This window comes from Homo sapiens, chromosome 2 (assembly GCF_000001405.40).
Source record: "Homo sapiens chromosome 2, GRCh38.p14 Primary Assembly".
Lineage (NCBI taxonomy): Eukaryota > Metazoa > Chordata > Mammalia > Primates > Hominidae > Homo > Homo sapiens.
The window spans coordinates 96858603-96883010 of NC_000002.12; the positions used below are offsets into that span (position 1 = coordinate 96858603).

General features: G+C 59.0%; 3 protein-coding genes across 17 annotated transcripts in view, besides 13 other annotated features; 1 reads left to right on the forward strand and 2 right to left on the reverse strand.

Annotated features, from left to right (window-relative positions):
• Positions 1116–12228, reverse strand: SEMA4C (semaphorin 4C). 13 transcript variants are annotated; one of them, XM_047444831.1, is made up of 15 exons: positions 11776–12228; positions 9176–9324; positions 7681–7829; positions 7265–7327; positions 7064–7162; positions 6839–6935; positions 6602–6718; positions 6362–6513; positions 6103–6278; positions 5636–5780; positions 5324–5546; positions 5080–5192; positions 3135–3292; positions 2977–3047; positions 1116–2853 (listed from the first exon to the last, which is right to left on the reverse strand). In XM_047444831.1, the coding sequence occupies exons 2-15, from the start codon at positions 9282–9284 to the stop codon at positions 2024–2026; spliced, it is 2502 nt and encodes an 833-aa protein (XP_047300787.1). In that variant the 5' UTR covers positions 9285–9324; positions 11776–12228; the 3' UTR covers positions 1116–2023. The 13 variants fall into 13 exon arrangements, with proteins under 13 accessions (XP_047300787.1, XP_011509682.1, NP_060259.4 ...); XM_011511380.2 differs by having other exon boundaries at positions 9176–9321; positions 11776–11887; NM_017789.5 differs by lacking the exon at positions 11776–12228 and adding an exon at positions 11274–11478 and having other exon boundaries at positions 9176–9321.
• Positions 7406–8067: an enhancer, noted in NCBI's record as "H3K4me1 hESC enhancer chr2:97531745-97532406 (GRCh37/hg19 assembly coordinates)". NCBI's record gives its function as "activates a minimal SCP1, AML or CMV promoter by ChIP-STARR-seq in naive and primed H9 embryonic stem cells {active_cell/tissue: H9 hESC(naive and primed)}" and the evidence as "EXISTENCE:reporter gene assay evidence [ECO:0000049][PMID:30033119]".
• Positions 9772–12521, forward strand: LOC124908044 (collagen alpha-1(I) chain-like). The gene is made up of 3 exons (XM_047446878.1): positions 9772–9816; positions 9983–10147; positions 10426–12521. The coding sequence occupies exons 1-3, from the start codon at positions 9772–9774 to the stop codon at positions 11431–11433; spliced, it is 1218 nt and encodes a 405-aa protein (XP_047302834.1). The 3' UTR covers positions 11434–12521.
• Positions 10001–10620: a silencer, noted in NCBI's record as "silent region_11783". NCBI's record gives its function as "represses an Ori minimal core promoter by ATAC-STARR-seq in GM12878 lymphoblastoid cells {active_cell/tissue: GM12878}" and the evidence as "EXISTENCE:reporter gene assay evidence [ECO:0000049][PMID:35858748]".
• Positions 10671–10830: a silencer, noted in NCBI's record as "silent region_11784". NCBI's record gives its function as "represses an Ori minimal core promoter by ATAC-STARR-seq in GM12878 lymphoblastoid cells {active_cell/tissue: GM12878}" and the evidence as "EXISTENCE:reporter gene assay evidence [ECO:0000049][PMID:35858748]".
• Positions 11151–11250: a silencer, noted in NCBI's record as "silent region_11785". NCBI's record gives its function as "represses an Ori minimal core promoter by ATAC-STARR-seq in GM12878 lymphoblastoid cells {active_cell/tissue: GM12878}" and the evidence as "EXISTENCE:reporter gene assay evidence [ECO:0000049][PMID:35858748]".
• Positions 11271–11340: a silencer, noted in NCBI's record as "silent region_11786". NCBI's record gives its function as "represses an Ori minimal core promoter by ATAC-STARR-seq in GM12878 lymphoblastoid cells {active_cell/tissue: GM12878}" and the evidence as "EXISTENCE:reporter gene assay evidence [ECO:0000049][PMID:35858748]".
• Positions 11371–11470: a silencer, noted in NCBI's record as "silent region_11787". NCBI's record gives its function as "represses an Ori minimal core promoter by ATAC-STARR-seq in GM12878 lymphoblastoid cells {active_cell/tissue: GM12878}" and the evidence as "EXISTENCE:reporter gene assay evidence [ECO:0000049][PMID:35858748]".
• Positions 11511–11800: a silencer, noted in NCBI's record as "silent region_11788". NCBI's record gives its function as "represses an Ori minimal core promoter by ATAC-STARR-seq in GM12878 lymphoblastoid cells {active_cell/tissue: GM12878}" and the evidence as "EXISTENCE:reporter gene assay evidence [ECO:0000049][PMID:35858748]".
• Positions 14637–15137: an enhancer, noted in NCBI's record as "H3K4me1 hESC enhancer chr2:97538976-97539476 (GRCh37/hg19 assembly coordinates)". NCBI's record gives its function as "activates a minimal SCP1, AML or CMV promoter by ChIP-STARR-seq in naive H9 embryonic stem cells {active_cell/tissue: H9 hESC(naive)}" and the evidence as "EXISTENCE:reporter gene assay evidence [ECO:0000049][PMID:30033119]".
• Positions 15704–15763: an enhancer, noted in NCBI's record as "active region_16234". NCBI's record gives its function as "activates an Ori minimal core promoter by ATAC-STARR-seq in GM12878 lymphoblastoid cells {active_cell/tissue: GM12878}" and the evidence as "EXISTENCE:reporter gene assay evidence [ECO:0000049][PMID:35858748]".
• Positions 15804–16113: an enhancer, noted in NCBI's record as "active region_16235". NCBI's record gives its function as "activates an Ori minimal core promoter by ATAC-STARR-seq in GM12878 lymphoblastoid cells {active_cell/tissue: GM12878}" and the evidence as "EXISTENCE:reporter gene assay evidence [ECO:0000049][PMID:35858748]".
• Positions 16438–17198: an enhancer, noted in NCBI's record as "H3K4me1 hESC enhancer chr2:97540777-97541537 (GRCh37/hg19 assembly coordinates)". NCBI's record gives its function as "activates a minimal SCP1, AML or CMV promoter by ChIP-STARR-seq in naive H9 embryonic stem cells {active_cell/tissue: H9 hESC(naive)}" and the evidence as "EXISTENCE:reporter gene assay evidence [ECO:0000049][PMID:30033119]".
• Positions 17199–17959: an enhancer, noted in NCBI's record as "H3K4me1 hESC enhancer chr2:97541538-97542298 (GRCh37/hg19 assembly coordinates)". NCBI's record gives its function as "activates a minimal SCP1, AML or CMV promoter by ChIP-STARR-seq in naive H9 embryonic stem cells {active_cell/tissue: H9 hESC(naive)}" and the evidence as "EXISTENCE:reporter gene assay evidence [ECO:0000049][PMID:30033119]".
• The window catches only part of FAM178B (family with sequence similarity 178 member B), a 110696-nt gene continuing 103570 nt past the window's right edge, over positions 17283–24408 (reverse strand). For all 3 annotated transcript variants that reach the window (NM_001122646.3, NM_016490.5, NM_001172667.2), the window contains 3 exons: positions 19814–19891; positions 19288–19440; positions 17283–17706 (listed from right to left, as the gene is read on the reverse strand). In NM_001122646.3, the coding sequence (NP_001116118.2) occupies positions 17674–17706; positions 19288–19440; positions 19814–19891 (264 nt within the window). In that variant the 3' untranslated portion in view covers positions 17283–17673. The remainder of the gene's footprint in view (positions 17707–19287; positions 19441–19813; positions 19892–24408) is intronic.
• Positions 23440–23995: an enhancer, noted in NCBI's record as "H3K27ac-H3K4me1 hESC enhancer chr2:97547779-97548334 (GRCh37/hg19 assembly coordinates)". NCBI's record gives its function as "activates a minimal SCP1, AML or CMV promoter by ChIP-STARR-seq in naive H9 embryonic stem cells {active_cell/tissue: H9 hESC(naive)}" and the evidence as "EXISTENCE:reporter gene assay evidence [ECO:0000049][PMID:30033119]".

A 24408-nucleotide genomic window follows, 5' to 3' on the forward strand; every position in this document is an offset into this window, starting at 1 on the left:
CCCGCCACCACGCCCGGCTAATTTTTTGTATTTTTTAGTAGAGACGGGGTTTCGCCAGGATGGTCTCGATCTCTTGACCTCGTGATCCGCTCACCTTGGCCTCCCAAAGTGCTGGGATTACAGGCGTGAGCCATCGGGCCGGGGCGCGCTCCACGGTTTTTAGCCCCTCTTCCTGGCACCACCCCGGACCAAGGCCGACCGCCCCCGGGGCAGCGGCAAAGTGACGGCTGGAAAGGCCTCGAGACGCCCCTCCCCGTACCCTGCTCTTCCTTACAAGTCCAGCAAGGGGCAGGTGGCCACAACTTGTCCTGCCTGTAGCTCCACCTCAGGGCAGGGGCAGGGCCTTGGTTTGTGCAGAACCCCCTGGCCCCACAGTGGGCGCTGAGTTTACGGAATCGGTCTTCATGATCAAAACCCACCGGGAGGCCGTCTGCGGACCGCGCACCTTCGCAGCGTGCTCCTCAGCGGACCCCAGCCTTCTCAATTCCCAGTTAAAACCCAGGCAGCTGCCTGCTCAAGCCACGATCAAGTGTACAGGGGAGACCGCCTGATCGGCTTAGAAAGAGTGCATGAACGACAGAATGCAGGTTGGGTTCTGTGCCAGTCCCTCTCCAGGACAGTGGTCTGGTGCACACTGGATGTAAGTTCCTTCCCCCGCTAGTTGGGGCACGGAAGACCCTAGCATTCCTGGTGGGTAGAAGGCTGGAAGTCGTTTCTCCTCCCCTAAGCAGGTTGAGAACCCCATCCTCACACAAGCAATGATCTCATCTCCACAACCTTCCACTCCTTTGGCCCCTCATTCCCACTACCCGTCTTGAGTTCTGGGAAGGCACCCCCCCCACCACTCCGCTTCTCCCCTGGACTCCCAGTGCCCTGACTTCTCCTTCTGGCCAGAAGCCAAGGCTGGCTCCCAAGGGGCTATGGCCATGGTCTCGTTCCCAGCCCCGCAGCCACCACTGTGGGAAAACACTAGAGCTGGGCTGTCCCCTCCCACAGGCAGGCAGGGACCACAAAAGTGGTGGCTGCCCTGGGATTGTGGGGGAGGCCCAGTCCAGCCTCCCTCCACCCAGAGAGCCTTCCCTCTTGGTACCCAGAAAGGCTTTAGCCCAAACATCTTAGCCCCATCAGAGCAATCGTTTCATTTTCTCCATTTTATTTGTCAATATAAAAATACTCAAATATTTACAACAAATAAATACGCGGGGACACAATAAGTTACACTGTTAGGAGCCCTCCTCCTAGGGCTGGAAGAGAGTATGCCATTGTCCACAGCAGGCCCACCCTCTCCCTTCTCTCCCCTCACACAGCCTTTCCCAGCCCTGTACAGGAAGAAGGCAAGTATAAAATACCACTGAACCCCGGGGCCAAGTGGGAGGCCCCACCCACCCTTCCCCCCAAACACACAGGAGGCTCCATCTCCCTCCCCCCACCCTGAAAACATTCACAGCCCTAGGAGCAGGACTAGGCCCACCCCAAGCCCTGCACTCCCTCTGAAGGGGCACAGCACCCTGTCCACCCCACCTCCATATGTACATCGCTGCCCGACACTCGGGGCAGTGGGGGTAGGAGAGACAAAGTGATACGACCCCTTCCCCTTCATAGCTCCAATGACTCACCAGGAGGACCCAGGCCAAGGGAAGACTTGACAGAAACAGGAAGGCTATGCCACAAGCGCGCACGCGCGTGCACACACACATACACACACACACAAACACATGTGCAAATACAGACAAACACACATCTTGAAACTTCTGCCTTGAAAAGTTTTGGCGGCTGGGGTCCCGCGTGTCTGTGATTCACAGAGAGGAGGAAGATGCCTTCTGCGAGGCTGGTGCCCTGGTGAGCCACACCAAGTGGCAGTGCCCGTGCTGAGCAGAGCAGGTCCTCATGGCCGGGTGGGTGCTGGGCAGTATCTGTCCCAGACAGAGCAGGTGCCCGTGCCATGTCCCTGAGGTAGCTGGTGCCTGTGCAAAAGTAGGAGCTACACCTCCCACGCTTCCCGCCGACGCGGTGGGGGTTCCCCTCATACTGATGACTCCTCGGGGTTGGAGTCGGGCAGTGGCTGGCGTTGCTGCAGTTTGCGTCTCAGTTCATCCGCGAGCTCAGGCAGGGGGTGCCCGAGCCCTCCCCGGTCCTCCCCTCCTAGTTGTAAGCGCACGTAACCATTGGCATTTGAGTTCCGCCCACCCCCCAGGTGAAGCCGAGTTGGAGAAGGCAGAGGCTGGCCTGGGATGCCTGGAGGTGGCGAAGGGGGCCCCCCACCGGGCTGGCACCGGGCATGCCCAGGTACTATCTTAAGGGAGCCATCTGAATAGTAGTAACCGACAGGATCCCAAAGTTTCTCATCTGGTTCAGGACAGGGCCGGAAGGGGGGACTGGTGGGCTCCTTGGGCAGCTCCAGGGGGTACACCAAGGTCCTCTCAGTAGCCTTGGCCCCTTTCTCCAGCTCTTCCCGCAGCCGCCGGCGCAATGACAGCACCAGCAGCAGCAGCACCAGGCACACAGCCCCCAGGGCCACCACCGCCAGCCACACCAGCCCCAGGTTTTCCAGGGGGGCCCGGGCCTCCAAGGTCACCGACGGGCCTGCCACGACAGCCACAAGGTAGCCTTCAGCAGCCAGCCGCGCCCCCTGCTCCTCTGAAAAGCAGTGGTAGGCCCCGGCATGGCGGGGCTGGGCAGCCATCACAACCAGGGCCTGGAGCCGGGCATCGTAGAGGAAGGACCCGGGCTGTTCCGCAGGCAGGTCCCGGCCCCCAAAGGTCCAGCGGGCATGGGCCAAGTTGGAGGAGAGGTGGCAGGGCAGCACCAGGTCTGTGCCCGCCACCACCGTGATGTTTTTGGGAGTGGGCCTGACTGTAGTGGCAGAGAAAACAGAGTGCATGTTAGTGCAGGAAAGCAGGGCTGGGGAAGAGGAGAACAGAAACTCCAGCTCTGGTCCAGGGCTCAGCCCGATGCGACGGGAATGAAAAAGCTCACCTTTCTTACTGCCACGGAGGTTGCAGATGCCTGAAGTGTCCGAGGTCATCACATGCTGGATCAGTAGAGATCTGGTAGGGGATGTAGGGTACATCAGCAGCCTGGCTCCAACCACCCTGAGTCCCTGGAGGTCCTGGCCTATGTAGAGCCCAACTCACCCAGAGTGGCCACCCACGGCCACACAGCGGCTGGTGTTGACGCTCCAGGCGCAATAGGGGTCCCGGGCGAGGACACAGTCTGCACAGGAGCGATACTTCATGCAGTCGGCCACGGGCAGCTGCACCAGCTGAGAGCGGGAGCCGGCAAAGAGCAGCTTCTGCGAGAAAAGCGGGGCGCAGGAGGGGGGTCGGCCAGGGCCACACCACGGGAGGGGCGGCCGGACCAGAACGCAGCATGGGGACAGCTTGGACTCCTGCAGGGGGCACAGCACGGGGCGCCAGAAGGAGGAACAAGGGAACAAGGCAGAGCTATAGTGCTGAAAAGGGAACTCTAAGAACCGCAGAACTCAGAGGGCTTACACAGGCCAGATGCAATCCTAAGCCCCTTATCGACGTGACGTTATTAGAAAGGGATGATGGGGCTGTGAGGCCAAAAAGTATAATCACACACACTCACACACACATAGTGCAGGAAATACATTTCAAGGCCCATCAGCCCTCACAACAGCAGCAGCATAACATAAGATGTTTTCCTGTTTCAACGGTGGATGCCAATCTGTGTGTTTATTCAACCACACACTTTCTTTCTGCCATTATTCCATGTTCTAGGGGACAATTTTGAGTCATAATAGCTGGTAAAAGGCAAACAAATCAAAGTTCAGGAGGTGTAGCAAACATGCCACAAGAGTATTGCACAAGGCAACTAGGAACAGCAGGTCATGCCTGGAATCCCAGCACTTTGGGAGGCTGAGGTGGGCAAATCACTTGAGGTTAGGAGTTCAAGACCAGCCTGGCCAACATGGTAAAACCTTGTCTCTACTAAAAATACAAAAATTAGCCGGCTGGCCAGGCGCAGTGGCTCACGCCTGTAATCCCAGCACTTTGGGAGGCTGAGTCGGGCGGATCGCAAGGTCAGGAGATCGAGACCATCCTGGCTAACACGGTGAAACCCCGTCTCTACTAAAAATACAAAAAATTAGCCAGGCGTGGTGATGGGAGCCTGTAGTCCCAGCTACATGGAAGGCTGAGGCAGGAGAATGGTGTGAACCTGGGAGGCAGAGCTTGCAGTGAGCCGAGATTGCGCCACTGCACTCCAGCCTGGGTGACAGAGCGAGACTCCATCTCAAAAAAAAAAAAAAAAAAAAAAATTAGCTGGGCATGGTGGCACGTGCCTGTAGTCCCAGTTACTTGGGAGGCCGAGGCAGAATTGCTTGAACCCGGGAGGTGGAGGTTGCAGTGAGCAGAGATCATGCCACCGCACTCCAGCCTGGGCGACAGAGTGAGACTCCATCTCAAAGAAAACAAAAACAAAAACAAAAAACCTTTAGCTGGGCATAGTGGCAGGCACCTGTAATCCCAGCTACTCAGGAGGCTGAGGCATAAGAATAGCTTCAACCTGGGAGGTGGAGGTTGCAGTGAGCTGAGATCGCGTCACTGCACTCTAGCCTGGGTGACAGAGTGAGACTCCATCTCAAAAAAAAACCAAAAAGAGTATTGCACAAGGGTATAATGCAAGCACTTCAGGGAAACAGTCACGGAAATGGGGGCTGGAAGGAAAACCACCATGGTGAGGGCATCATAAACATCTCACAGCCTGGGAGGTCTGGTCACAGGGGCATGGTCAGGGAAGAGGCCAGAGCCAGAACCACAGCACAGCTTGGAGGGTCTGAAAGAAACATGGGAGCAGTTGCCAAGGCTTGATGCTGGGAGCGCAGCCCCGTGACCTGGCTATATATAATGGCCCTGTGCAGTGCAGATTCCATTCTGTTTTCATTCTCGTTTCCAGGAACCCACCCCAAGTTAGGCAAGGTGTGCATCCACATGTGTGTGTGTTCCTAACTCTGCACTGGCCAAGCACATAGGCCCAACTGGGAGAAGCAGCCAGATGGAGAGAGTGAGATGGGATAGTGCTGGGGACAGTGGCAGATAGGGCCCAACTTACTACCTTGCTCTGAGATAGCACCAGGCTTCTCATGGGCTCCTGGTCAAACAGCTGCAGCTCCTCAATCAGGTGAACCCAGGGCCCCAGGCTCACAGCCTTGAGCAGCCAGCCGTCTCCTGGGGGGTGCAGAGGAGAAGGTGTAAATGAGAGGGCACAAGGCCGTGGGGCAGCTCCAAATCTCCCTGCCCTGGGCACACGGGCTTCTGCCCAGCCTTGAGCAGCCATGCCTGCATACCCATGCACCCACCTGTGCCAATGAACAGCACTGTATAGGTGGCTCCATCAAGTCCTGTAACCCGGTCGGCCACCAGGTGGGTGAAGTTGGTGCCCTTCTTCACGAGCAGGGGGCGGCTCCACCGAGGCCCCACCTGCTCCTCCATCAGCGGGTGCTTCTTGACGAAGTTGAGGATGTTGTCGGGTAGCTCCAGGGAGCTGGTGTAGCCGTGGCGCCGATGCCAGTTGTTAATGCACTGGGGGCAGGGTGTGGGGGGCAGGCCATCAGCAGGGTGGGATGGCACCGCAGCTGGGTGGGGAGATGCATCCCTGCCCTAGCACTCACCGAGCCAGGCCGAGGGCTGGGTACAGGGTCAGTGTAGCGGTCCCACTTCTGGGCTTCCTCATGGTACTCCTTATAGGGGCCCTCAAACACCCGCTGGATCTCTTCCAACTGGTACTCACAGATGGCCGACAGGTACATGTCACCCCTGTCACAGCGAGAGGGAGCCCAGGGTCAGGTACCCACCTTATCTCTTCCCACCCCAGCTAAGGGCAAGCAGCAGGAAGGCAGGGCCTGGCACAAACTGGCCATGGGTACCAGAATGCCCTGGCAGCTCAAGTGCCACCTGGCATGGGGCCCTGCCCCTTCACAGGCAGCTCTGAAAGGGGCAGGTGCCAGCATTCTCCTTGGCTTCTGGACACCTGGCTTCCGGGACTGCCTCTGAGGCCTGGTCCAGGCTCCCACCCATGCACCGTCCCTGACCTGAACCCCAGCTCCTCCCCACTCTGTGGGAGCCCTGGCCAACTCACCACTGTGCTTGAAAAACCCCAAAGAAGGTGGTGTTGTGCCAGGAGGTGTCCTGCAGGGTGTGCATCGCCTGCAGCTGGTTGAAGTAGAGCTGCCAGTTCGGGGCAGAGCATGCCAGCCGCGCCTTCAGGAACGTGGTCCACTTCCTCTGCAGGGTCCGTGCGCCCCCCATATCGCCCTGGCAGACGGCAAGGGGACACTGCCGGTCAGCCCCGCTGGGCCAGCAGGGCTCCCAGGGCCCACCGCTGTGAGACTCGGTACCTTGCAGACACGGGCCACACGAGCCACCACCTGCTCGGCATAGCAGTCGGACTCCACTGCCCGCTCCCTGAAGAAGAAGTAGACCTTGTCGTCGTCCCCCGTGAAGCTGCCCACACTCTCAGGTACATAGGCAGAGCCTACAAAGTGAGGTTCTGTGGGAAGGGGAGGAGGTCAGCAGGGAGGGGCTGGGCCCCGGGGGACCTCCCACCCATGGCTCCCACAGGCCCCCCGGTGGCTCACCGTTGAGCCAAAAGGCCAGGTACTCTGTCTTCATGGAGTGGTGGGGCCCCATGTTACGCAGGATAATGGGTTCCGTGCCCAGGAAGTTGTTGAGTGTGGCCGAGTACAGCTCACCATCTATGGGAGACAGAGGTCAGCTAGGCCACACATGAGGTATGGACACATCCGGCCAACACAGACCCAAGTGGAACCAAGCCCCAAGGACTCACCCAGCCTGCATGGGGGGCAGCCACTCACCCACAAGAAGGCCAGCATGGCCCTTAGCTGGGTCATAGGGACACTTGCCCTTCCCATCTTCAAACTCTCCATGCTCCAAAGTGAAGGTGAGCATGTTCTAAGGACAGAGAGAGAGGTGATGAGGAGATGCTTAAGGGCAGGGCTCTGTGGGCCACATCCACGAGTCCAGAGAAGGGTGAGGAGGGCGGGGGGCTGGGGACACCGAGGTAGGAGGGCAGCACTCACGACGTAGGTGCACTTGGGCTGGAAGGCGTAGGTGCCACAGACGTACAGGTGGGAGGCATTGTAGGGCTGCAGGAAGCGGATGAAGTTGAAGCACTCGGTCTGGGGGCAGAAAGGTGTCCGGTTAGTGAGAGCGCGAGGGCCAGAATGGGAGGAGACGTCCTGGGGTGAAGGCAGCACCAGGAGCAGCGTCCAAGCACCCACCTGGTTGTTCTTCCCTTTCTGGATACACTCAGTCTTCTTCTCCACGGGGGCCTCCCAGGAGATCTGGGGAAAGGGAAGGGGATGTCAGCCACGTTACAGGTACGGACTGAGCACGTGTCACAAGCACAGCCTGCAGCAGCAACACAGGGACGCCCAGTGCAGAGGCATGGTCCCTATTCTCTGGGGACTTCCTTTAGTACAGAATGGAAGCCCCAAACCACCCCACTACACAGAATTCAGTAAGTGCCAGAGAGGAGAGGAATGCCGCATGCTGACCCCAACCAGAGGGCAGGCCCCGGATGCCCAGCAGCACTTCTGTGGGGGCAGCCAGGCTGAGGGACCACCTAGCCAAGCACAGCCCCTCTGGGCCTTGCCCTCTGGCAGGCCCGACTGCCTCCCACTGCCCCACCTCTCACCGCTCCTTGCAGCTCCAGGGCCTCCATGCTGAAGGCAAACAGGGCCTCTCGGGCGCCCACGTACAGAAGCCCAGTGGGCTCCGTCAGCGTCAGTGTCAGGAAGTCCTGGATGCCGGTCTGGGAGAACCGCCGTACTACCGTGGCCAGCTCTGCAGGGGTAAGCATGGCTGCTGATGGGCAGGACCCCTGGGGCTCGACAGCCCTCAGTCTTGCTCCACGAGAGCCAGCACCCCATGCCACAAGCAGATGCCAGCCAAACCCCCTGATTGGCAATAAAGGACACTTTTGAAACAGCCTTTGGCCCTGACAGCCCCACCTGGGCCTCCCTAGCCTTTCCCAGCCTGGGAGGAGGCAAATCCAGGCTGCTGGGAGGAAGGAAGGATATCTCAGCCACAGCTTCCGGCCAGAGGAAGCCATCAGACTGATGGCTCTTGCTCTCAGGGTCAATGGCACCTCCGGCCGCAGGGCTGGGCACCCCCACCCCACCTTCGCTTCCTCGGCGGCTGCTTCCTTCTTTGCCCTGCTGCCCACTGCCTCTATCAGAGTCCAGCAGAGCAGGAGGCACAGACGGCTATGAGTACTCCCTGCCTCAGGAAACCCTTCACTCCAGCAGGACCCCAATCCAGGCTGCCAGAGATGCGAGCACAGCAGGCCACTAGGACAGGTGGGGATGGCAGGAGGGGAGCTGGGCTGTGAGCCAGGCCAGGGAGGTCCGGAGAAACCAGAGGCTCAGAGAGCGGAGATGGGGCTGGGGCCTGGGAAGTCTTGCTGCCACCCGGCATGCAGGGCACTACGACATTTATACAGTCACGTGATTCCTACATCAGCTGCCAAATATGGCTGCCGACCTGTCCTCAGGGTCCCCCCAAACCAGCCTTAGTCTTTGCAGGCAACAATGGATCCAGACACAGACCGGCATGGCAGGGCTTCACTGGCACCCGAGTGGAGCCTGTGGGAGGTGAGCTCATCCCAGGTCCCCAGAGCGCACGGCTGATACAAACACCTGACATCACCTTTCACACGGGTGTGTGCACAGGGAGCACTGCTGGGTCCCCGCTGTGCCCCGGCAACCATGCGAGCATGTGCACATACACACACACTTCCAGGGCCACCAGAGTGTATGATGTGTACAGGGCAGTAGGAGGTCTTAGGGGGGCCTGGGGAGCCAGGGGAGAGAGCCTCCAGTTTATATTTATCCCGGTTCCAGTTTCTCTTTAGGCTCCCAGCGCCAGTGACAATTCAAGAAGCGAGGCGTGGAGAGGGCGAGGCAGAAGGCTCTCCCCCTCCCACACCTGGGCAGGCAGTCTGGGGTGGGGAGTTGGACAGAGCTCCCCCAGAGGAGGCTAATCCCAGGTCCCAACCCACACTGCCCGTTCTTCCAACTCGAGTTTCTTAGAAAGCTGTGCCACACACGTGAGAATAAAGCCAGCACACTATGGGGGCAACTCCTCAGCAGCCTGTCCCTGACTTCCTCCTCACCCCTCCAGGCACTCACCCCCAGAAGACACTGTCTTACGCGGCACAAGGTTCCACCACACCTCAGCCCCAATGCCCAGGCCCCACAGCCTTGCTGCCAGCAGCCAGACAGCCCAGTGTGGGGCCATGGCGCACGCCCCGGCTCTGAGCTTCAGGCCAGCTGTCCTGCTGAGGGAAAAGACATGGTCAGAAATCACAGCCAGAGAAAGCAAACCAGAGGGGCCCGCAGCAGGAGAGGCCACAGGACTCCTCATCAGGCCTTCCAGGAGCCCCGGTGCCCTCCTTCCCCTTCTCTTTGGAGGTGGACCTAAGTCCCCACACTTGGCCTCTGCCTAAAAGACCACAGGTCTCCCTGGGAAGCGGGGAGGAGTTGAGTTGGCTGAAGGCTAAACAGGCTCCGGGAAGCCCTCCCTGGCCTCCAGACCCACCACTACCTCTGCGCAACAGGAAATCATTTGAGAAATAAAAAGGGGACCCCCGCCCAACATACACACTCAGGCCTAAGAGGTTTGAGTTTCTTGAAAGAACCTCAGGCAGCAGGCCTTGCAGCCACTGGGGCTCCGGACCCTGCCAACACCTAATTCTGGGAGGAAGACTCCTTAGGGCGACGAGGGCATGCGGTGGGGTAGGCGGTCGGGAAAGCCCCAAAGGGGAAACCTGGTGCGGCCGGCTGCGAGCGGAGGTCCCGGTCCCGGCCTGTCCCCTTCCCCAGCGCAGACAATAGCCCTGCAGAACCCCAAACCCCGTTCCACATCAGCAGGGCAGGAGTGTGAGAAGGGCCGGGAGCGAAGGGGCCCAGCTTCCCGAGGCCCCTTTGTTGCCCAAGAGGGAGGCAGGAAGTGGGTGGGATGGGCGTGGAAATGACCAGGGCCTCATCCTGTTCCTCGCACTGCCTCCTCCGAAACACCAGCCCTCTGGCGGAGGGGCGGTGGGGGGACCGAGCTCGGGTCGAGTCGGGGACTCCGGCGGCGCGCGCAGGCGACGGGGGGAGGTAGGGGCGGGGACGCGAGGGGGTTCCTCCCGGGCCGCTGGCAACGCGCCGCGCACGGCCGGCACCCGCTGCGCTCCCGCGACTCTGACGAACCTTCCCAACTCGGGGACTGCGCCCCAGGGACCCTGGCCTGGGCGGGCCAGCGGGATTGGCTTCCCCTGCTCCAGCCTTCCCGTGCCAGGGGCGGAGACGCAGAAGCTGGGGACCTGCTCACCCCCAAACAAAGGGTCCCCGCCAAGACCCCGTCCCGGGTCCCCCCGGGTTCTCCCCTCCCCCAGCTCCAGGGATTTGAACGCAAACAAAGCGGCGGCGCGGGGAGCGTGGCGAGCCCGGCCTGCGGACGCCCCCTGTCGGCCCAGAGCCCCGGCGCGGGAGAGCGGGGGCTGCGCCCCAGACCAGCCCCCCAAAACGCCCGCGGCCTCATCTCGGCTCCTTACCCGAGGATCGGGCCGCACCCCGTGGCGTGCTCCGAGGATCCGCCCGGCAGCGGTGCTCCCACCCGCAGCTCCCCCCAGGGCGAGGAAACGGGCAGCCGGGAGGAGGGGTTGGGGGGAGGGGTGCGGGATCCAGGCGGGGCACCCCACACCCTCGCCCACCCCGAGCGGCCAGCCGTGGACCGCGGCCCTCCCTGCAGGGCGAGCGCTCCAGCCGGGGACGGCGCGGCCCGGCTCGGCCCGGGGGCCTGGCTTTCCGGGACAACCCGCCTCCCCAGCGGAATGGGCGGGCGGGCGGGGGGCCGCGGCAGGGAAATCCGATCCCACAACATCGGCCTCCCTCCAAGCCCGCCCCAAACTTTCCATCGGGGGTGGGAGCGCCGAGGGCAGTCCAGGAGCCTGGCGAGGATCCCGGCCGCGGACCGGACCGCGCGAGGAACCCTCGCTGGCGCGCCCCTCCGGCCCCGGGGCTGCGGGGCTGCAGGTGCTGTGCGCCCCACTCCCGAGACCCTGCGAAGCAGCCGCGGGGGTCGCAGGAAGGATCCCCGCGTACAGCCGTCTCCGCCGCCGCGGCTCCCCGCGCCCCAGCCCCTGTCCCTCCCGCGTCCGGCAGCCCCTGCCCAAGCAAAGGGACAAAGCGGCGGCTCCGGGGCCCCGCGGCTCCAGCCTCACGCAAGCCCGGCCTCGCTCACCTATTGCGCGCAGCTCCAGTCCCCGGGCGCCGCCCTCGCGTTCGGCTCTGACCGCCGTCCACCCCTGCCCCCGCGTCGCCGCCTGCCCGCGCTCGCCCGCCAGCCCTCCGCGGCCTCTCTGCCACCGCCCCTCCGTCCCCGCCCGGCTCCGCGCCCCTAGGCTCGGGCTCCCCGCGCCACCACGGCGGGCGCCGGCTCTTTCTCCAGCGCGGCCGCGGCTCTCCGCCCCCTTCCCCTTGACGTCAGGCTGGGGGGGTCGAGCGGAGGCCGGGGGCGGGCCGCGAAGGCTCGCTCAGGAGGGGGCTGCGACCCGCAGCGACCTGTGGACCCGCCCGCTCTCCGCCCGGGGGCTCGGACCTCCGCCTCTCTGGGTGCCCGGACCTCAACCCCTCCGGGTGTCCAGCAGCCCCGGGGCTCGGAGTCGCGGGCTGCGCCACAGCGCCTGGAGGGAGGTGGGGCGGGGGAGGGACTCCGGGTATGGCCACGGGGGAATCACACTCACCCGATCTTTCTGAAGTGTCCCCCGAAGACTCCGGGCGGGCTGGGCTGGGGAGAGGGACTCCCGACCGTGCAGTTGCAGGAACGACCGCGGGCGAGCCACGTCGAGGCGAGTATCCAGGGGAGGCACGCTGGGGGAACCGAGGCGTCTTTTGGGGCGGACCAGAGGGGTCTGCCGTTTGGCCCCCAATTCTGCCTCTTTCTAGGCCCCGAGGACCACTGGTCCCTGCCCTCAAGTCTGGAAAGGGCTTCACCAGCCAGGAAGACCCTTCAATCAACAGAAAGGGCCTGCTCCTGCTTCTCACGCTTTGGGCAAAGCGCCTATCCCCAGAAAATGACTCCTCGTGCCACTGGAAGGCTGATTAACAAGTGGCATGAGCCCTACTGTTCAGATGAAAGGGGCTGTGGGGAGCCACGCTGCAGAACCACCGCCACCTTCAGAACCACCAGCCTCCGCCCACAGCCACTCCTAGAAGCAACTTGTAGCTCTGGCCTCATGGGCGGTGCAGCGTCTTTCCTGCCAGCTGGTCCTCTGAGCTGGGCAGGTGGTTAGAAGAGGTGGTCCTCATGGAGGACACCCCACGGGCACCTGGAGACAGATGCTACCTCCTGGCTAGGGGCAAAAGGCAGAGGTGAAGGGGCTTGACGTCCTGAGGTTTGGAGGTAACTTTAAGCCAGGGTGCAGTCCTGGAGGGGAGGAACACTTCAGGCTGCGTCAGCAGATCTGGATTATAAATCAGTCCGACAGCAGCTTTTGTTCTGGGTTAAAACTTGGCATCTGAAAAGTGGAGACCAGAAAAGTGGTGGAGATAATTGAGAAAAGCAGCCCAGTTTGGTTTCAGTAACAATCGGGTCTTTGCTGGTACACATAATGGCCCCTTCTCCCTTGCTGGCCAAAGCCACGTTTCCCAGCTCTTTTCCACTAGGAAAAAGAAAAAAAGCTGTGGCCTTGGAGATGCTGGAGATAATGACCATGGGGTGGGCAGGGAAGGCCTCCTGCTTCAGCTGACAAGGTGGGAGAAGGTGTGTCACCCTCGTGTTTAGTTTATTCCCCGTATCTATTCAAGCGGAGGGTAAACTGAGATGCAAGTGCCCTCACTTGTGTTCTGTGCTTTAGATTTTTGCAGCTTGTCTTGATGTACATTTTCTTACTTCACCCTTATGACCACCCTTTAAAAAGTAAGTAATTTGGGAGGCTGAGATGGGAGGATCACTTGACCCCAGGAGTTCAAGACCAGCCAGGGCAACATACTGAGACCCTGTCTCTACAAAAGAAATTATTATTATTATTTTTTTTTTGAGACAGAGTCTCACTCTGTCACCCAGGCGGGAGTGCAATAGCGCGATCTCGGCTCACTGCAACCTCCACCTCCTGGGTTCAAGTGATTCTCCTGCTTCAGCCTCCCAAGTAGCTGGAATTACAGGTGCCTGCCACCAGACCTGGCTAATTTTTGTATTTTTAGTAGAGACGGGGTTTCACCATGTTGACCAGGCATGCGCCACCATGCCCAGCTAATTTTTGTATTTTTAGTAGAGATGGGACTTCGCCGTTTTGGTCAGGCTGGGCTCGAACTCCTGACCTCAGGTGGTCCACCTGCTTAGGCCTCCCAAAGTGCTGGGATTAGCCACTACGCCCAGCCCCAAATTAAAAAAAAAAAAAAACTAGCGGGGCGTGGCGGGGAGGGGTGGCTCACGCCTGTAATCCCAGCACTTTGGGAGGCTGAGGCAGGCGGATCACGAGATCAGGAGATCCAGATCATCCTGGCTAACATGGTGAAACCCTGTCTTTACTAAAAATACAGAAAAATTAGCCAGGCGTGGTGGCGGGCGCCTGTAGTCCCAGCTACTCGGGAGGCTGAGACAGGAGAATGGCGTGAACCCAGGAGGCAGAGCTTGTAGTGAGCCAAGATCACTCCACTGCACTCAAGCCTGGGCAACAGAAGGAGACTCTGTCTCAAAAACAAACAAACAAACAAACAAACAAACCAAACTAGCGGGGGCGTGGTGGCATGCATCTGTAAGTCCCAGCTACTCAGGAGGCTGGAGTGGGAGGGTCGCTTGAGCCCAGGAGGTTGAGGCTGCAGTGAGCTGTGATTGTGCCATTGCACTCCAGCCTGTAGAGCGAGACCCTGCCTCGACAAAATTAAAAAAATAAGTATTGTTGCTCCCCTTTTGGAGATGAGTCAAAAAGATTAAACAACTAGCCCCAAGTCATGGAGATAATTAAAAAAGATTAAACAACTAGCCCCAAGTCATGGAGATAATTAAAAAAGATTAAACAACTAGCCCCAAGTCATGGAGATAAAAAGGTCAGAATTTCTTTTTTAGAAACGGGGTCTTACTCTGTTGCCCAGTCTGGAGTGCAATGGCACAGTCATGGCTCAATGTAACCTCAGACTCCTGGGCTCAAGCGGTCCTCCCACGTGAGCCTCCCAAGACTACAGGTGCACACCATCATACACGGGACAGGGTCTCGCTATATTGCTCAGACTGGAAAGTTCAGATTTTTAAATCAGGTCTTGGGACTCCCGATTCTGTTTTTCCACAGAGTCACCATCTATCCTGACAATGCTCCATTTCATGCTGTTTTTCCTCACCTTCAATACTGCTCCCCCATCCCCCCACCTCTAGGTGTGAAGGTTACCAGGAGAGACCTGAGCTCGCTGGCTCTGACTCCAAGGTGGCCTCAGTGGAAAGTTTCAAAAGGCAACCGGTTTGGTTTCACTGGCAGGGCAGCGGCAGGCGTTTGGGTTCTGGAGGCCCAGGAATGTAGAAGCCTCCAGCTAACAGACTCCACGCGCCTATCCTCCCAAACGCTCTCGGAGATAAGCTCCCAGCTCCCTCCCCTTTTCCACCTTCATGCACTTCCTGCTGTATTCTGTCCATTCCAGCACTGGCCCTTTCTGTGGGTGGGTGGGCAGAGGATACAATTTCCTGCATGACTACTTGCTCATGATTCATACTTCTAAATGAAAGTACAACTGATATAAAAAAAAGATTTCTGGGTCTTCAATTAATAAAAAAATTACTAATACAGGTACCGGGGGTGGGGGGAGGTGCACGTACCTGACTAGTCTCCCTAGGGCCTAGCATATCTATGGAAGGTATCCACACTTTGGGACTCAGGCCTTGACAACTGCTTGTGGTCGTGTCAAGGAAAGACACAGAAATTGTGCTAAATGACTCTCAAGGGTCTTCAAAGATCACCCAGCAGCTCAGGCCAGCCCCTAGAGATGACCTAAAGAGTCTTTCCTGAAAAGCAAGTCCCCCTTCCCATCTCTTGATGTTGGTTGGGGGCCACACTGCCCTTCATTTGAGCTACTCACCTACTAGCTCTCCTGAGGCAGCCAGAGGGAGGCCCTGGGTGGACACTGGGTTCTCTGGTGAACGCTGCCTGGTGGATTTCCAAGGCAGCCAGGACTGCCGTCATCCCACAGATGGGGAAGTGAGAAAGCTTGGGTCAGCGCGCCTGGGGACCGAGGTGACTAGGGACATAGGAAAAGGACTCTCCCTCCCTACTTCCTCCAAAGGAGAGTTATCAAAGCTGCCCACCTGGGATGTCTTTCCCTTCCCAGCCCCTCCCTGTCACCAGTACCAAAAGGAAGCAGGAAAACATCCGTCATCACAGCCCCGGATGCGGATTTTCCAGTGGCTCCTATCAGGATATCCCCCAGCCTTTTCCCAAGGGCTTAGGGATCTGGAAAAGTCAAAGATCTGGAGGGCAAGTGGTCACATTGCCAGCACCACTGTGAAAATCTGGACCTTGGGGAGGCTGAGTCTCTAACCGATCCCAGACTAGTTTTAGAAGATCTGGTCAGCTCCCAGCCAGTCCCAGAGAGGGCCCATTACACACCCCAGGGGACAGCATACGCCCTTGGGCGACCTCACAGTGCACACCTCTGCTCGGGTTACAGCCAGGTCTCTGGAGGGACTGAGTCGTCACCGACACCTCCTCTCCCCTTGGTATCTATTTCTCTCTTGGGGATGGGTATGTTTGGGGAGCAGTAGAGGAGGGGACAGTGGACAAGAGCCAGGACTGGGGAGGAAGGCTCCAGTTATCGACGCTGATGGACAGCTCGGCTCCTTCTCAGAGCCAGGTAGGGCCACCTTCGAGAACTGGAAACTCCCCCTGTTTAGCTTCTCAGGCCTCCCTACTTCCTCTTTGCCCTTGGCAGTAAGAACAAAGAAGGGAAATTTCAAAGGTGATTTCCAGGTTTCCAGAGAAAAGTGAATAGCTACAGATGAACTGTCAGTGCATGCAGTGTTGGAGCAGGGCAGCCCGAGGGCGGGTGAAGGAGGCTGGCTCACCATAGTCCCTGCTCGTTCACTGGAGGATCTGAGGTTGACCTGATGCTGCCGGGGCTTCGGGGGTGCCCGGGCCATGGGGGCATGTGACGCAGCCAGGAACAGAAACTTGAACTGTCACGGAGGTCGCTTGGCATCTAAGTCACCCTGGCCGAGGGTTTCTTCCCCCTCTCATTTGGCAAAGGCTGCTAGGCAGAAAGGCGTCCTGTGTGGTATCCAGCACTGTGCTGTGCGTGTGCCCGTGCCCCTGAATAATAGATGCCCCCAGCTCCTAGCATTCTGGGGATGCAGTGAGGGAGGCAGCTGTGTCTGAAACAGCCCCAGGAACTGGTGAACTCCACTTTGGGTCTGCATGTTGAGCCACTTAGCCTGAAAGTCCTTTATTTTGGGGGAGTCTCTCTCCTAGTTAGCCTGCCCACCCTATCCCTGTGCATGAAAGCCGGAGAGGGAGGGGTACATAAAAGCAGAAGAGTTGTACACAGCCGCCATGGGAGAATTAGCAGACAGCCAGGGTTGAGTTGAGGAGTGGGCACAGTCCAGTGTGGCAGGGGCAATCCTCTGCCACTGCCTAGCTACCTCTTGTGTCACCTGCAAAACCCCATCCAAACCCAGGAAGGGTCAGGAGGGGCCGGGGACTAAATGTGGATTCTCAGGGTTGGAGGAGTGGGCAAAGTAGATCTCCTGGAGCACAAAGGGACCACTCCCTTCTCAAGGGGTTCAGGTCAAAGATACCTAGGACCCTATTAGGGATCAGGTCCCATGAACTCATCTGGGGCAAGTCGGAGGAAAAGCAAAAGCAGCATCTGGAAGTGTCTTCTGAACTGCCCCCACTCCTGAGGCTGGGGAGTTGATTTCAGAGCTCAGCACTAAATGGAATTAAGTGTAATTACAGCCCTGATCCACATCTCACTCTGTGCGTCCTCCTCAGCAGGGGCGGGGAATGGGGAGTGGTCCCAGACTGGGTCCAAACAAACGTCCCATTCCTGGGTTTCTGACAGCTCTTGGGCCACAGTGGGCTGTAGGGAGCACTGCCCCTCCCCGGGGACTTGCAGACAGCCCTCTGCTACAGGCAGGACCTGGGCCTGGGCCCCAGTGCTGTAACTGTCGAGCTAAGAACCCAGCGAAACACAGGCAGAGGCATCAGGAGACTGGACGCTGGCATGAGCCCTCGGGACAGGGACTGAAGGAAGTGTTCTAAACCACTGATGCTGAAAGAAGACTTTAATGTGCACAAAGAAACCTCACATTAGTGACAGGGAGACAGAGGAAGGAGGGTGGGGAGGACTGAGGCCCAGGGAAACCAGAGCTATGGAGACAGAGGCCTTAGGGAAGAGGAGATGGCTGGGAGGAGGGCTGAGGGGTGGGCGAGGCAGAGAGGCCCATCCCTTGCTGAGAGGAGAGGGGGTCGGGGCGGTGGCAGAGGCAGGCTCTTGCAGAGAGGAGAGGGGTCGGGGCGGTGGCAGGGGCAGGCTCTTGCCTCATCAGGCTGGTCAGCATGTGGCCTCCTCTGGCCTTGATGCTTCGCTTCCTCCAGTTCCCTGAGCCTGTTCACTTCCTGCTGAAGCCAGGAGCCCTGGGCTGCCCTGACCCTGTCCCTTTAGATGTCTTTCCAGGGGCTGAAATACTGGGCCTGCGGCGAGGAGAAAAGCAGGCTGTGAGGGCCTGGGCCCAGGTGCTGCCCACTGCCCTGCAGCTCCCCGGGCTGGCGGTGTCCATTCAGCACCCATCGCAGGCTCATGCCAGGGGCCGAGTGAGCAGGATGCCTGGGTTCACACTACTGGCGAGGACACAGCGGTCATCAGGCTACGTGACCGTATAAGTGGTCTCCCAGGGCCCCTCTACCAGGCCCTGAATCACTTTTCCTTCTTCTCGTGACAAGCACACTGCTCCCACCAGAGGCTGGTGAGATCTAGTTCCTTGGGGAGTGAGGGTGAGGTTTGTTCTCCAGCCTTCTCAGAGACTTGGCGAAATCTGAGACCCAAACCACAGCCTGTGGCCAGTGTGTCAGACCTAAGTCAGAGGTTATAGGGGAAGGACAAAAGAGGAGTCAAGAAGAGGCAGGCTAGGAGAGGAGGGGCACTGGTGGTGGGGTGGGGGGTGGTCCTCACCAGGTCCTGTGCCCCTCCATAGAGGACTGGGGGCTCAGGAAGGGAGGAGACCCCGAGCCAGCCCAGCAGGGTGCTGTTTGTTGGAGAGATGGGGCCGGAAGGGAGGGCACCAGCACAGGGGCTGAAGTTGGTTAGGTCAGAGGCTTGGGAGTCAGGCTGGCTCATGCCCTGATTCTGACATTCACACAAGCTGCCTGCGTGATGGGGGGCAAGCCACCGAGCCTCTCAGGGCCTCTGGTTAGTCTGCTCATCTGTAAAATGGGCTCCTGACAACACCTGCCTCATGGGGGTTGTGTGGGTTCTTGAGAAACGGATCTTCATTCAAGAAACACTAGCTGTGACTATCACACCTACAGGCTCTGAGAAAACTCGGCGGGGGTAGGGGGTGTAGTGGAGAGGACCAGGGCAGCCTGGGAGCCTTCCTCCTAACACAGCAGGAGACCAGCTTCAGGCCCACAGCACAAGTGAACAGCTGGGGCCCCTTCCTGGCACTGCTCATGAAAGACTGGCACTCTGGGTCCAGACTTTTCCCTCTCCAGGGTGACTTTTCTTTGCATTTCCTGAGGACTGCGCTTCTCTGTGTCCCCTTCCCTCCGCACCCACCCTGGGCACTGGATTTTTTTTTTTTTTTTTTGAGATGGAGTCTTGCCCTGTCGCCCAGGCTGGCGTGCAATGGCACGATCTGGGCTTACTGCAACCTCCGCCTCCTGGGTTCAAGGGATTCTCCTGCCTCAGCCTCCAGAGTAGCTGGGATTACAGGCGCACACCACCGCGCCCGGCTAATTTTTTTAATCTTTGGTAGAGACGGGTTTCACCATGTTGGCCAGGCTGGTCTCCTGACCTTGTGATCCGCCCGCCTCAGTCTCCCAAAGTGCTGGGATTACAGGCGTGAGCTACCACGCCCAGCCTTTGGCACTGGATTCTTGATAAGAATGATGAAGGCCCCTCAAGGCGTCCCCACCCTTCCCCCACATGCCCACTCCACCCATATCCCTGCCAGGAGCTCAGCAGCTGCAGCGGGGGTGGATGTGCTGGTGGCTCTGGCCAGCCCTGCCTGACCACTTCCCGCCCCTCCCAGGTCTGGGGGCTAGAGGGGGCACCACCTGGGGCTGGCAGTGGGTCAGCAGCTCCTGCCAACGGATGTAGGTCTGGGTAGCCAGGTCCTTGAGCATGGTGCGGTGCATGGCCTGGGGGCTCTCCCGGATCTGCGTGCTGATGTGGCGGTCCAACTGCATGCACAGCAGCTGCAGCTCGCCCTGTGGAGGCGGAGGGAGGCCAAGAAGCGGGTGTAGCACAAGCCAGGCACATCCAAAGCCGGGCAGGAGGAGAACAAATTCAGAGAAAGGAAGGGGCACATTTGAGTGACTGTTCAGAAGTTGAGGAGGAAAAGGAGGATGGGGCCAGCACAACTGTTGGGGCTCGGGTCAGTGTCCCTTGGGAATGGCTCAGCTGGTGGGACACTGTGGGGAGGAAGAGGCCCTGGCTCTCCCACGCTGGCTTCCCTCTCAGCCTCCCACTCTCTGCAGTTCCTAACAGTGGGCTGGGCGCCATCCCAGCCAACCCCCGCCGCTTGGGGGAGAAGACACAGCTGGGCACCCCCACCACAGCCCTGCCCCTTGGGAGACTCACCCACTGGTCTGGAGTGATGTCCTGGCAGCTAACAACTACCCCGGCCAGCATCAGCAAGCTGTGGCACAGGTAGCAGGCCTGGAGGGAGAGCACAGGGAGAGCTGCTTCTCTAACTCCACCCAGGGCAGCATGGCGTGCCCTCCACCTGCACACTCCCCACTCTCAGGCTTGGCAGGCCAGGCAGGGGCTCAGTCACCCCTAGGCTTTCAGCAACAGTTTCCAGGGAGGCATCTTCAAGGGGACCTGGGTGAGCCAGGCTCTGGGCTGGCACTCACTTGGAGCTGTGACTCCCTAGCAGGCACTCCCAGCCTGCCCTCTGATGAAGGGCCAACCTCCCTTCCTCTAGAAAAAGGAGTCAGCCATCCAGAAACACACACTGTCCCCCAGCCTTGTGCTGGGGCAGCAGAACGCACCTTCTGGGGAGAGGGGCCTATCCACTCTGATCTCTGCAGTCTCTGTTCCCTGGGACACCAAAACGGGTGCAGCCTGCCTGGACAGTCGCCTTGCTGACCCGAGGAGGCAGATGGAGAGATGGGAGCCGAAGGTTTTGGCTGAGCGTCTGCACATCTCGCCTCCATCCTCATTCCTGCCAACTGCACACTCTCAGCAGTGAAAACAGGACGCAGGCCTGCTCCATCTGGCCCGAGAACAATTTGATCTTGAGGCACCCCTGGACTCTTGGTACCCATTCACTTATGGGATACGTGCTTGCTGTTTAGAGAAACCGAGCCATGGGGAGCATCCCAGGGCGTGAGGCTCCAGAAGGGATGCAGCCTGCCCTGGATTCCCAACTGCTGCCCGCAGGTGCGCCCCTCCACTCAGAGGGCCCTGCTGCCTTGTCCTCTCGGCTCTCTCTTCATGTCTAGGATCAGGAGGTGGCAGATGACCAGCCCCGAGGACGAGTAGGGGTGGGAGAGGCGGGCTCTAGAAATGCCGGCAGGTGACAATAGGCTGGAGCTCAGAACCAGCCCACGGCCCCTGTGCCCCAGCTTCCCCTGCCCTCATCACCCGGCCCTCCCAGGGCGCCAGGCAGTGCCCCAGCAATGGCTGCAGCTTCTTTGCACAGGCCCAGGAGTCTCCTCAGGACAGAAGCCAGACCACTTCTGAGGACATCAGATTTGGTACCATCAACTGACTTCTTAAACCCAAATACCGCAGTGCAAAATCCTGAGGTCGAAGGCCACCTGGGGCTCCCACCAGCAGCGCCCACCCTGCCTGGGACGCAGCCTGTTCTCCCACACAACGGCTAAGGCCCACGGGTGGTCTGACTCCACAGGCTGACCAGGTGGCCTTGCACACGGCAGGCAGAGAAGACACAGTGGGGGAAACCGAGGCGTGCCTCCAGGAGAGCTGCCCTGGGGTGGGGAAGACCCAACCTCTCTGAAGCCCAGCTCCCTCTGCCTGCCGGGTCCCTGCAGCGGCCTGTGGACGCCCGAGTTGCCCGGCCCAGCTGGCCTGCTGGCGATGCACTGCTGGCTCCCTGAGCTCCCCTTCCCTCCAACCTGGCCTTGCCTTTGCGACTCTGTCCAGCCTTTGCAGTCTTGCAACAGCTCACTGCCCCCTTGTCATAAAGCAAGTCTGGGCCTGCGTGCCGGACACTATACCTTGACTGAGACATGGTGACATGAAACAAACTCAGACATGAGAGGGAGAAAGATACTTCAGGAGGGCAACCATTCGGTCAGGAAATAACATACCTCTGCTTCTGCACAGACCAAAAGGAGAAAGGGCCCTTCCAGGGTTTTTTGGGGGATGGCGAGTACAACTTAGAGGCTTCAGGAATTGACTAAGCTGAAGTGGGCCTCAAAGGAACAGTAGGATTCGAGGCAAAGATGGCCCTGTGCAGGCAGAGGAGGGCTGATGACAGACCCTGAGGGCGGTTCCAGAAACAGAAGCCACAGACCCTGAGGGCGGTTCCAGAAACAGAGGCCAGTACAGGTGCAAGGGAGTGGGGACAACCTGGGGGGCAGAGTTGTGGGAACAGGCTGGGGGTGCCTGGGGGAGGCAGGTGATAGAATGTGGCCACACTGGTGTGCTGGAATGTACTAGGTAGCAGGAAAATGAGCTCTCTCTGGGAGAAAGGATTACAGGGTATCCCTACCTTTCCTTTTTCCTTTTTTAAGATTATTTCTCTACAATGTGTGTACTCATACAAGGAGAATACAATGAGAGTTGGTTTAAAACATTTTTTTTTTTTGAGACGGAGTCTCGCTCTGTTGCCCAGGCTGTAGTGCAGTGGCGCAATCTCCGCTCACTGCAAGCTCTGCCTCCCGGGCTCACGCCGTTGTCCTGCCTCAGCCTCTGGAATAGCTGGGACTACAGGCGCCCGCCACCGTGCCCGGAGAATTTTTTGTATTTTCAGTGGAGACGGGGTTTCACCGTGTTAGCCAGGATGGCCTCGATCTCCTGACCTTGTGATCCGCCCGCCTCGGCCTCCCAAAGTGCTGGGATTACAGGCGTGAGCCACCGCGCCCGGCTAAAACTTTTTTTTAACAAGATACTGCCAACGGTAATTGGCTGAACCTAACTGGGTTTGGGGTGGGTGTGAGGCATGGGAGCGGGACTTGGCCATGAAAAGCAGCCGAGACCCAGGCTGGGCAAGGTGGTTCACGCCTGTAATCCCAGCATTCTGGGAGGCTGTGGCTCAGGAGTTTGAGACCAGCCTGGGCAACATAGTGAGACCCCGACTCCACAGAAAACAAAACCAAAAGGTTATCCAGCATGGTCACCTGGATTCCCAGCTACTTGGGAGGCTGAGGCAGGCATATCACTTGAGCCTGGGAGGTTGAGGCTGTAGTGAGCTGTAACTGTGCCACTGCACTCCAGCCGTGGGCAACAGAGCAAAAGCTGGTCTCAAAAAAAAAAAAAAAAAAAAAGGAAGAAGCTGAGGCCCCTCTTTGAGAGGGCAATCTAATGATGAGAGGTGGCAGGGGATGCCGAAGAAAACATCCAAGGGTTATCAGGGCCGTCACTGAGGACAGCTGGGGAAGGCACCCTGGGCTGTCTGCGAGGGAGAATGTGTGGGACTGGGAGGGGCGAAAGGGGGCCTGTCCCTCTCAGACCTTTCACTCCCCACTGCTGATGGCGCAGCTCACTGGCCTGCTCCACCCATGGGCTCTCGGGGGAGTCTCTTTGTCTGGAGGAGGCCCGGCTGCAGAACTTCCCCTCCTAGAAGGAGTCGTGGGGAGGGTCTGAGATCTGAGGAATGCCCTGGAGGAACATCAGGGAGGAAAAATCTGTCAGTGGACTTACCCCAGGCAGTGGAGAGTTACTGGTTTCACAACTTGTTTCTTATGCTAATTCCCATAATTGAATCTGCAGGGGGCAGGGAGGGGGGAGGGGAATCCCAGAAAAACTATTCCGAGTGTTTGGGTGGATAGTGAGTAGGAAATGGCAGTCCTAGAGAAAAACCCTGTTAACCACATTTTATAAGTTGTTTTTCCCAAAGGGAAAAACCTAAACCTGCCACTGCCTGGAGGCTGGGTGGCTGGGTGCATGTCTTCCTTGCATTTGAGGTGCTTCCTATAAGGAAGACGTTGACCCAATTTAAGGAGATTGGTGGCTGTGCAGATGCCCTCCCTTGGGACATCTCTGGGAGCTTGGCTGAAGCTGGGTTCCCAGTAGGGATTTTGAAAAGAAGCCTTCATTATTGGCATAGGAAACACCCACACTTCCATCTCCTCCCTGCATTTCCCCAGGACTCTTGGTCTCAGAGCTGCAAAGAGGTAAGAGAGAGTCTGATCCTGTCCAGACAACAAGCAAGGTGTCCCCACCCTCCCACCAGACCCCTCTCTCTGTGTGAAGGTCAGAGGAACAAAACCTCAGTGGAAACTGGGAACTCTGTAGCCAGGAGCAGGCAGACCCTGAGTCTCCCCATCTAAACCGCCAGCGGCTGTGGACACCCGATTCGCCCAGCTCAGCTGGCTTGCTGGTGATGCACTGCTGGCGGCTCCCTGAGCTCCCTTCCCTCCAACGTGGCAGGGGCAGGCACGGGAGTGGTGCAGGGCAGGCAGGGGTGGGCGAGTGAGGGGGCCCTTCCCAGCAAGACAAGAAGGGCCAGGTGTGAGAGCTGCGCTTCCTGCTTCCTTCGCAGTGTGACCAATTCCTGAACTTAGCAAGCCTGCTCCTGTCCTGGCTGGCACTACAGAGGCACGGTTCATCTTCCCTTCCACGAGGCAGGAGAGAGAGGCTGAGCCCAGGCTGCACTCCCTGCCTTACCTGCTTCCTCTCCCTTTGGGAGCACAAGGTGGCCCTTCTATACGCCAGAGGGAGGCCCTTCCAGGTCTCTTAGAACTGCTTGGTGCGGTGGGGATGTCATTGTGGCCTCAGGGTTAGCCCTCCTTGGGTGCTGGGGGGCTACACTTGTCCAGGCCTCAGAACCTTGTCTGAAGACGGGACCCAGCTCCTGCCCCATGGCACGTTAGTCAGGCTGGGAAGCCCTAATGGGAAATGGGACCCCGGAAACCTCAGTCAACATCATGGGGAAAGGCAGAGTCTGAGGGCATGCCCGGACCCAATACTGACAAGAAAAGCCCAGCCCATCCCTGCGGCCGCTGCCAGCAAGGGCCGAGCTCCCGTTTTCTGGGTCTTTCCCC